The following is a 10709-nucleotide window of genomic DNA, read 5'->3' as shown; positions in this document are numbered from 1 at the left end:
GTGATCTGCCCACCTCGGCCTCCCAAAGTGCTGGGATTACAGGCGTGAGCCACCGCACCCAGCCGCCTCCCACTTTCTTAACTCATTTCCGTTTGCCCCGAGAATGCTCTTGTCTCTAATCCTAGTGTAACATCATATACATTTCTGTTACACTAGGATTAGAGACAAGTTCTGCTTAGAAATAACTCCAAGAACAGTTTTTATATTTTATTTTCACACTGAAAATCGGTCAGCTTTGCTTCAGCATCAAAAAGCATATTTACATCAAATTAAATGAGCGCTGGCAGCGAGCGGCACTTTTTTTTCTAAACGGGAAATGGGTTAATCAGTTATGGAGGACCACCTGAAACAGGGGTGCACAAACCATGGCATATGGGCCAAATCCAGCCTGCTGCCTGTTTTTGTATGGCTACAGTCTACAGCTAAGAATGGTTTTTACAATTTTAAATGGTCGGAAATAACTGTAAAGAAGAATTAATATTTTGTGACACATGGAAATTAGAATTGTTTTAGTGTTCCTTCATAAAGTTTTATTGGAACCCAGCCACACTCATTTGTTTACAGACTCTCTATGGCTGCATTTATGCTATAATGACAGTGCTGAGTAGCTGTAACAGAGACCTAGCGACCTGCAAAGCCTAAAATATTTACTATCTCGCCCTTTACAGAAGAAGCTCATCGGCTGGACGTGGTGGCTCACGCCTGTAATCCCAGCACTTTGGGATGCCAAGGCGGGTGGATTTCCTGAGGTCAGGAGTTCATGACCAGCCTGGCCAACATGATGAAACCCTGTCTCTACTAAAAATACAAAAAGTAGCCAGGCATGGTGGTGGACACCTGTAATCTCAGCTACTCGGGCAGGAGAATCGCTTGAATCTGGGAGGCAGAGGTTGCAGTGAGCCAAAATCACGCCATTGCACTCCAGCCTGAGCTACAGCGCGAGACTCCATCTCCAAAAAAAAAAAAAAGAAGAAGAAGAAAAAGCTCATCAACTCCTAGCTTGAAGAATATACAAACCATCCAATCATATAGCTGTAATGTTTAGAAATTGTCTCCTGGCCGCTTTCTGGCAGGATAGGGTCTGGATGAGGCCAGGAAAGCCTAGAGCACATGCCAGGTCTTCCTTGTTTTAATTCCTCAGAGCACAGATTTCACTGAATGGTTCCAAGACACCTTATCAAAGGGATATTTTTGAGGACCCCTAGGAGATATTTCCCTTAGTTCACAGGATCAGGAAAATCTTTGCCACTCCCCTTGTGATGATCTTTGTCACAAAATATTTGCTTTGGCTCTGAGGATGCTCTGAGCCCAATCCATAGCCCCATCTTCAATGAAACAGGCTCTTAGATGGATTTCTTGAACACTGCCACTAAGTTTGAATTATTTTATTGCCCTACACATTTTTCTCTGCCTCCATCACTTCCTTTTACAATTTCACTCAATTTCTAATGTTTCTCTAAGCTGCTTCAAAAATCCTATTTTGAAATGAGGCAAAATATGAATTAGTAAATATAAAAACAAACCAAAGCAATCATCAATTATATTACATCACTATAATAATGTGCTCAATGGTTCTAGCATCAACTTGGCTATGTTGAGAACTCTGTCTCACAGAACCCCTCACCTGTATGGTCCTGGGTCAGAGGTACAGCTGAGTGAGAGGTGGGGGACAGAAGCCACAGCCATCAAGCTCTGCATTTGTCATATGTCAGAGGAGGTGAGAGACACCACAGAGGTGCAGGCAGGCACCCCACTCTGTGACTAGCTCTCCTTCTAGCTCTTTCCTGATTGTCAACCTTGCTGATCAGTAGTAAGCCCAGGCCCCATCATCAGAGAGTTTACTTCAAATCTGCAGAGGCTACTCTGAGTCCACCACCTTCTATGGACTTCTACACCAACGGTAGAACGTGCCTGGCTTCCAGATTTCCCTGCAAGTTTCAGTTCATTTGCCAGCACAAGGGCCAGTCAATGACTCTTCCTCTGATTCTTCAACTTCCCTTCACAAACCTGTGTTTCCCCAGATTCTCTCACAATTGCATAAGGTCTAGTTCCTCTAATAAATTCCTTAATCCACAATACTCACAGTGGTTCAGCTTCCCTGATTGAACCCAGATTGAGACAAGTAGTGCAACACACTTTACTATAGGTAGGATTAATGGTGAAGAACACATCTCTATCCTAACTCCTAACTTCTGTTCTTAGCCATGTGTGATCCTCTCATTAAATGAAAATGTCCTCCTTTCTATATCCCAATCTGCAGAGGAAGAATATCTAATTATGCAAGGCTCCATTGCTGTGAAAATTTCTCTCAAGTCTTGGGCCAACAGGAAGGTACAGACTGTGTTTGAGGCAGGTAGAATAATCATCACTTTGAGCTACCTTCTCTCTCCCATCCTAATTGAAATTCTTAACAAACCAATATCAAGTTCCAAAACTGAATCAGTAATGAAAACACCTACCCACACAAAAAAATCCCCAGACCAGATGAATTCACAGCCAAATTCTACCAGAGGTACAAAGAAGAGCTGGTACTAATTATACTAAAATTATTTCAAAAAATTGATGAGCAGGAATTACTCATTGATTCTAGGAAGCCAGCATTACCCTGATACAAAAATCTGGCCGATACACAACAAAAAAAGAAAACTACAGGCCAATATTCCTGAGGAACATAGACACAAATCCTCAACAAAATACTAGCCAACTGAATCCAGCAGCAATCATATAGTTAATTCACCACAATCAAATAGGCTTCATTCCTGGAATGCAAGGTTAGTTCAACATATGCAAATCATTCCATGTGATTCACCGCATAAACAGAATTAAAAACAAAAACTATATGACCATCTCAACAGACACAGAATTTTTTTTATAAAATCCAACAACACTTCATGACAAAAACCCTCAGCAAATTAGGCACTGAAGGAACATGTCTCAACATAGTAAGAGCCATCTATGACAAACCCATATCTAACATCATACTGAATGGGCAAAAGCTGGAAGCATTTCTCTTGAGAATTAGAACAAGACAAAGATGCCCACTGTCACCACTTGTATTCATCATACTACTGGAAGTTTTATCTAGAGCAATTAGGCAAGAGAAAAAAGTAAAAGGAAAAGAAGTCAAACTATCTGTCTTCATAGATGATATGATTCTATATCTAGAAAACCCTGAAGACTCAGCCAAAAGGCTCCTAGAACTGATAAATGACTTCAGTAATGTTTCAGGATACAAAATCAACGTACAAAACTCAGTAGCATTTCTATACACCAATTAACATTCAAGCTGGAGAGCCAAATCAACAAAAAGAAATACCTAGGAATACATTTAACCAAGGAATTGAAAGAATCTGTAGTTCTACAAAGAGTATTACAAAACACTGCTGAAAGAAATCAGAGATCATACAAATGGAAAAACATTCCATGCTCATGGATTAGAAGACTAAATATTGTTAAAATGCCCATAGTGCCCAAAGCAATCTACAGATTCAATGATATTCCTATCAAACTAGCAACGTCATTTTTCACAGAATTAGAAAAAAACTATTCTAAAATTCATGTGGAACTAAAAAGGAGCCCAAATAGCCAAAGCAATCCTAAGCAAAAAGAACAAAGTCAGAGGCATCTAATTACTCCACTTCAAACTATACTATAAGGCTATAGTAACCAAAACAACATGGTACTGGTATGAAAAGAGGACACATAAACCAATGGAACAAAATACAGAACCCAAAAATAAAGCCACACACCTACAGCCACCTGATCTTCAACAAAGTTAACAAAAATAAGCAATGGAGAAAGCACTCCCCCATTCAATAAATGGTGCTGGGATAACTGGCTAGTCGTGCAGAAGAATAAAACTAGACCCCTTTTGCCGTACACAAAAATTAACACAAGATGGATTAAAGATTTAAATGTAAAAAATTAAAGATTTAAATGTAAAGATTTAAATATAAGAATCCTAGAAAAAAACCTAGGAGACACCATTATGGACTTCAGCCTTAGGAAAGAATTTATGACTAAGTCCTCAAAAGCAATTGCAACAAAAACAAAAATTGAAAGGTGGGACCTAATTAAATGAAAGAGCTTCTGCACAGCAAAAGAAACTATCAACAAAGTAAACAGACAACCTACAGAATGGGAGAAAATATCCGCAAAACTATGCATCCAACAATGGTCTAATATCCAGAATCTATAAGGAACTTAGACAATTCAACAAGCAAAAAAGAACCCCATTTAAAAAGTGAGCAAAAGACATGAACAGATACTTTTCAAAAGAAGACATGTAAGTGGCCAACAAACATATGAAAAAAAATGCTCAATATCACTAATCATTAGAGAAATGCAAATCAAAACCAAATTGAGATACCATCTCACACCAGGCAGAAGACTATTATTAAAAGTCAAAAAACAGATGCCGACAAGGCTATGGAGAAAGGGACCACTTACACACTGTTGGTAGGAATGTAAATTAGCTCAGCCATGGTGGAAAGCAGTTTGTAGATTTCTCAAAAAACTTAGAACTACCATTCAACTCAGAAATCTCATTACTGGCTATATATCCAAAGGAAAATAAATCACTCTACCAAAAGACACATGCAGCTCTATTCACAATAGTAAAGACATGGGATCAACCTAAGTGTCCATCGGTGGTGGACTGGATAAAGATAACGTGGTACATATACACCATAGAATACTACACAGTCATAAAAAAAGAACAAAAATATGTTCTTCCAGCAACATAGATGCACCTGGAGGCCATTATCCTAAGTGAATTAATGCAGGAACGAAAACAAAATACCATATGTTCTCACTTATAACGAGGAACTAAATATTGGGTACACATGGACATAATGACAACGGTAGACACTGGGGACTACTAGAGGGGGAAAGAGTCGGGGAGGAAAAGGTTGAAAAACTAACTTTTGTGGCCGGGCGCTGTGGCTCACGCCTGTAATCCCAGCACTTTGGGAGGCCGAGGCGGGCGGATCACGAGGTCAGGAGATCAAGACCATCCTGGCTAACACGGTGAAACCCTGACTCTACTAAAAATACCAAAAATTAGCCGGGCGTGGTGGCGGGTGCCTGTAGTCCCAGCTACTCGGGAGGCTGAGGCAGGAGAATGATGTGAACCTGTGAGGCGGAGGTTGCAGTGAGCAGAAATCGTGCCACTGCACTCCAGCCTGGGCGACAGAGCAAGACTCCATCTCAAAAAAAAAGAAAAAAGAAAAAAAGAAAAACTAACTTTTGACTACTATGCTCACCACATGGGTAACGGGATCAATCATAACCCCAAACCTCAGCATCATGCAATATACCCATGTAACAAACCTACTCATGTAGCCCCTGAATCTAAAATAAAATTGAAATTATAATTCTTTAAATTCTATTACTGATTACTTATACAGCATCAAAAAATGTTTACAGGATTGGCCGGGCACGGTGGCTCACGCCTGTAATCCCAGCACTTTGGGAGGCCGAGGCGGGCGGATCACCAGGTCAGGAGATCAAGACCATCCTGGCTAACATGGTGAAACCCCCATCTCTACTAAAAATACAAAAAGAAATTAGCCGGGCGTGGTGGCGGGCGCCGGTAGTCCCAGCTACTTGAGAGGTTGAGGCAAGAGAATGGCGTGAATCCGGGAGGCGGAGCTTGCAGTGAGCTGAGATCGCGCCACTGCACTCCAGCCTGGGCGACAGAGCGAGACTCCGTCTCAAAAAAAAACAAAACAAAACAAAAACAAAAAACGTTTACAGGATCAAAGGAAAAGACAGGTTTTATGCCAAATGATCCTCTGGCTCCCATCCCTCTTCTCAGCTTTTTCTTTCTTTCATGTCTGGTGTTGACCAGCACTGGTGTGGAATTAGGAGGCCCTGGATTTGAATCCTAACTCCTTTACTCTCTAAGCCACAGAAGCTCAGCATTGTGAGGAGGAAACATGATGGAAGCGGAAGCGGAGGGCCCTCCTCTGTGCCTGGTGCATTCTAAGTACTCAGCAAGTTGGTAAAAAGTACTATTTCCTTCCATTGCTCTCAAGGATACCACTCCAAGTTTCTTTCTAGGGCTCTAAGGCCTGATTGTATTCTGTCAAGGTGTCTAATTCCTTCTAACCTACCTCATTTGGGGACCCCTTTAAGACAGTGCTATGGATGCCTAGGCGCTAGTGGAGGAAGACGACGAAAGCTGATCCCCTCATTTTACAAATGAGGAAATCAAGTCCCAGAGACAAGAAGCTATTTGCTTTGGGTCACACTGTAAGTTAAAATGGAGCTGAAATTAGAACCCACCTGTCCTGACCCTCTGCTGGGGGCTTTTTCAATTCTGAAAATTCTGCTTAGAGTTGTTCTCCATCCAGGTTGTTTAGGACGCATTCTTTAATCCATGGGAAGGACTTTGGGAAGGACTGGAGCAACTCAACCAAGCATCCAGAGACACCATGCCCAACAGTCTATGTCCCAGTTACTCTTTATCCCCACCCTTGAGCTCTCTTCCGAACCCTAACTCATAGATAACATTGACTACTGAGTAGCATCTGGATCTCACAGACTCCTCCAGCCAAACAGTTCAGAACTGAGGTCATAATCTTCTCCAAACACATCATTCCTCCTATATTCTCCATCTTGCTTAATGACCTCTCCATTCATCAAACTGGACCCCAGAAAGCATCTCCACCTCCTCTTTTCTCACCCTTATTCTCAGTTAATTCATGCCTTAGTCTTTTAGCTTGGGAGGGGCACCCTAATCAGGGCCCAGAACCTGCTGTGTCCACAGCCAGCTCTACGTTAATGTCACCTGAGACCAGCTCCAAAAAGCTGATGATGAGATTGTAAAAGGGAAAATGGTGCTTAAGGAACAAAGTCTCCCTCCTGCCTTATCTCCAGCCAATTTGGATCCTAGGAGAAGGTTGTTTAAAATGCTTTGAGGAAGACACGTATACAATTAAATGTTATCCATCATCTTAGCCAAATGTTTGGAAAGCAGGAAAGGTTGGAAAGCTCAAATTAAAATTCTGGGATGGGAAGCATTTATCTTCCAAACATGGGGAGGTTAGGCTGCTCAACTGGTGTGCTCATCTCTCTGTCCTCAGAGCTGAATCCTCTTCTGGGTGGTTAATCCTCAGGGAGCTGAGCCTGTAAATGCCACTTGGCAACAACTGCAACTGCCAGTCTCCCAGAGGCAACAAAGAGCCTGACCTGAGATTGGGAGAGCTGGTGGATGAGGGATAGGACTGCATTAAAGGCAGATGATTTTTTTAAAGTAACTAAGCTCACTTCCTATTTAACCTATGATGACTTCTGTTCTCACCACTGTCACTGCCAGCAACCTGCTTGCCTCTGATGGTCTTTTCTTGTCCCCACTCCTCCACTTTAGGCCTCTGAGCTTTCCGCACTCTCCAGGTCTCCTTATTCTTAACAGATTCTCCTACAGATCCCCTTCTACCTCTCTGATGCCTCTTCTAGATTAGTTCCAGAGAAGGTTCTCTCAAAGGTTCTACTTTCTTCTTCCATCCTCTAAATGCCAGTATTTGCTCAGGATCAGTCCCCGGGTCTCCACATGGCTCTCTCTACACTCTCCCAAAAAGAGATCACTACCTCTACCCTAACTGACCTTCAACACTGCCTCCTCCCTGTGAACTATTCATCACCTTCGCCTGTAACATCCCTTCCCAATTTCCATGCCTTTCTCAAGAGTCGTGCCCTTCTGTCTTTCAAGATCAAAACTGAAGAGTAATTTCTGTCTCTTCCTTCTCCTTTTTCCTCCTTATTCAGTGAGACCCAGGTCTTTCTTGTCTAGCTAAACCCTCCTGTACCATCCCTGTTTCCATCACCACCCCTCTAAAATGAGCTTTCAACACATGCCCACACAAAGACCTCAGCCTCCTAACTGCTCTCCAGGCTCACTGTCCTGAATGCCAATTTTAGACTCTACGAAAGTCCGGGTTTGGCTCTTAAACTCCCCTACTACCCAAATTAGTTGTTTGAGCATTCTTACCACTTTTGCTTTGGAATCACAGCCTTTTAAGTCAGATACACAGAATAAAATCAACTTCCATGCTATCCCTGTCCCAGTAATTCTATATTGAATTAATTCTCCTGTTGATAATTTAAACTCCAGACAAAATTTTAAAAAAATTATTTGAAAGCATTGGCGAGAAGTGAAGAACATACAGAAACTTAAGAGGATTTGACTTTTAAAAGAAGAAAAACAAGCCGGGCGCAGTGGCTCAAGCCTGTAATCCCAGCACTTCGGGAGGTCGAGGCAGGTGGATCATGAGGTCAGGAGATCAAGACCATCCTGGCCAACATGGTGAAACCCTGTCTCTACTAAAAATACAAAAAATTAGCCGGGCGTGGTGGCAGGCGCCTGTAGTCCCAGCTACTTGGGAGGCTGAGGCAGGAGAATGGCATGAACACGGGAGGCGGAGCTTGCAGTGAGCCAAGATCATGCCACTGCACTCCAGCTTGGGCAACAGAGCAAGACTCTGTCTCCAAAAAATAAAAGTAAAAGAAGAAAAACACAGCAGATGAGATCCATATTTATCCCATTTTTCCCCTAAGGATTGTGTAGTGTAGTGTATGGAAATAGAGCTCAGGCAGAAATCATCAGTCTTACTGGGCTAAGGAGTCAGAGGTCAGAGTTTGGGACTGGCAAAACAGCTGGATATTGAGAGAGAAATCCTGGAACGGAAGGAGTCTCAAAGGAGGAAGCCCAACATCTGTGTGCAAATTCTCCTCAAATCCTTGGATGACTCTGAACTGTACATGTTCAGGGAAAGGTCCAAGAAAGCCAGTAGAAAGCAACAAATGGGAGGCTGAAAGCCTGTGCAGATATTTCCATTGCTGTCTAGTGCTGGGGAGACTGAGTTTGAAGAAATCTCACTAATTCAGAGGGCCTTAGTTTTACAGTGAAACTCCAGAAGGGCCATAACTTAGCAGTAAGAGCCACGTCTCAAGACTAAGGCCTAAACCTAGGATTCAGAGTAAAATAGACTTGCCATACAGAGTCTAAATGAAATATTCATAGAAACAAGGTGATCCTTCAGTAACTGCCAGCTGGAACAAAACTCTATCCTCATCAGAGTAAGATAGGTCAACCCAGAATCTCTACAATGTAATATGCACGATAATGAATAGTACTTACTTGTGAAGAAGCAGGAAACCCATAAGCAAGTGAAAATAGTCAATAGAAACAGACATCTTGGCAACCCATATATAGGAATCAGCAGACAGGATTTTAAAATAACTATGATAAATGTATTAAAGCACCTATGGATGGGTGTGATAGACGAAAGAATGAGATGCCTCAGGAGAGAAATGAAATGCTAATAAAAAACAAAATGAGGCTTACAAAACTGAAAATTCTAATATGTGAAATTTTAAAAAACTCATTGGATGAAATAAAGATTAAACAATGTATTATAGAAGCAAGAATTGGTGAAGTTAACAACAGTTCAATAAAAATTATCCAAATTGAATCACAATGGAAAAAAAATTTAAAGGAATGAATAGAGTCTCAACAATTTGCAAGATGAAGTCTAACACACAAGCAATTGGAATCCCAGAAAGAGATGAGAGAGAAAATTATACAGAAAGAATGCTTAGAGAAGCATGGACAAAAATTTTTCCAAATTTTATTTAAAACATAAACTTACAGACCTAAGAAGTCCATCAAACCTTAAGTGGGATAAATACAAAGAAAATCATATTATCAGTTAAATTTCTGAAAACAAAAGAGAAAGATAAAATCTTAAAAAGTACAAAAGGAGGAAAAACACTACATACAGAGAACTAGTGATAACAATGACAACTCATTCCTCCCCAGAAACAAGAGACCAGAGACAACAGAACCACATCTGTAAAGTGTTGAAAGAATAACTGTCAAACTATAATTCTATACCTAGTAAAAATTCCTTTAAAATTGAAGGTAAAAAAAATTTTAGGCAAATAAGAACTGGATTTATTCTCATCAATAAATCCACCTAAGAGAAATGTTAAAGGAATTTCTTCAGGCCAAGGGGAAGTGATACCATAAGAAAATTCATATCCACGGGAAGGAAAGAAGAGCATCAAAAATAGTAAAGAGCTGGGAAATGCTTTTAATATCTGCTTTTCTTTCTTTTCTTACCTTTTTAAAATACTGTTTAAAGCAAAATAATCCATTATGGGGATTCCACTTTTACTTTGTGGAAGTAAAATATATAAGAGCCTCTTGTTTTCTTTCCTATCACCTAGCTATCCCTAAGAGAGAGAAGAGCCTGAAAATTGGCCACCTCACGACCTTCCAAACAACCATGCAAAGGTTATTAATATTCTCTTTAGGTAGGAAGGAGCGTCACTCCTGGATTCTGTCCCCTTTGCAGACTTCTTGATGTCTTTCAGGGCCTGGCCAAACTCTCCAGGTGTGAAGGTTTCTGAGCTCTCATTCAATCTAAGTAGAAAGGCAACTCATTGATTCTGTTCAGATAGCAGGCATTGGTAGCTTCTTCTCTCGAGCCTTCACATTTTGCTCCCTCTTCCTGGAATCATTTCCTCCTCTATTTGTCTAGTTACTTCTGAGTCAGTCTTCAGGTTTCAGCTCAGACATCCCTTCTTCAAGGAATCCTTCACTGACCACTACCCCTCCCCATCATGCCCATGTCTGTGTCCATGCCTGTATCCCCTGCTCAGTCTCCCAGTCTCTCTGGACAAAGCCCCATCCTAGTCCTGGC

At 41.3% G+C, this 10709-nt stretch overlaps 1 annotated feature.

Annotated features, from left to right (window-relative positions):
- Positions 690–837: a silencer, noted in NCBI's record as "fragment chr2:75017750-75017897 (GRCh37/hg19 assembly coordinates)". NCBI's record gives its function as "represses an EF-1alpha promoter that drives an FKBP-Casp9 reporter gene in an ReSE screen in phorbol 12-myristate 13-acetate-treated (for megakaryocytic differentiation) K562 erythroleukemia cells {active_cell/tissue: K562(+PMA)}" and the evidence as "EXISTENCE:reporter gene assay evidence [ECO:0000049][PMID:32094911]".

The sequence above is a fragment of the Homo sapiens genome, chromosome 2 (genome assembly GCF_000001405.40).
Source record: "Homo sapiens chromosome 2, GRCh38.p14 Primary Assembly".
Lineage (NCBI taxonomy): Eukaryota > Metazoa > Chordata > Mammalia > Primates > Hominidae > Homo > Homo sapiens.
This window is presented reverse-complemented; position numbering and strand designations above follow the sequence as displayed.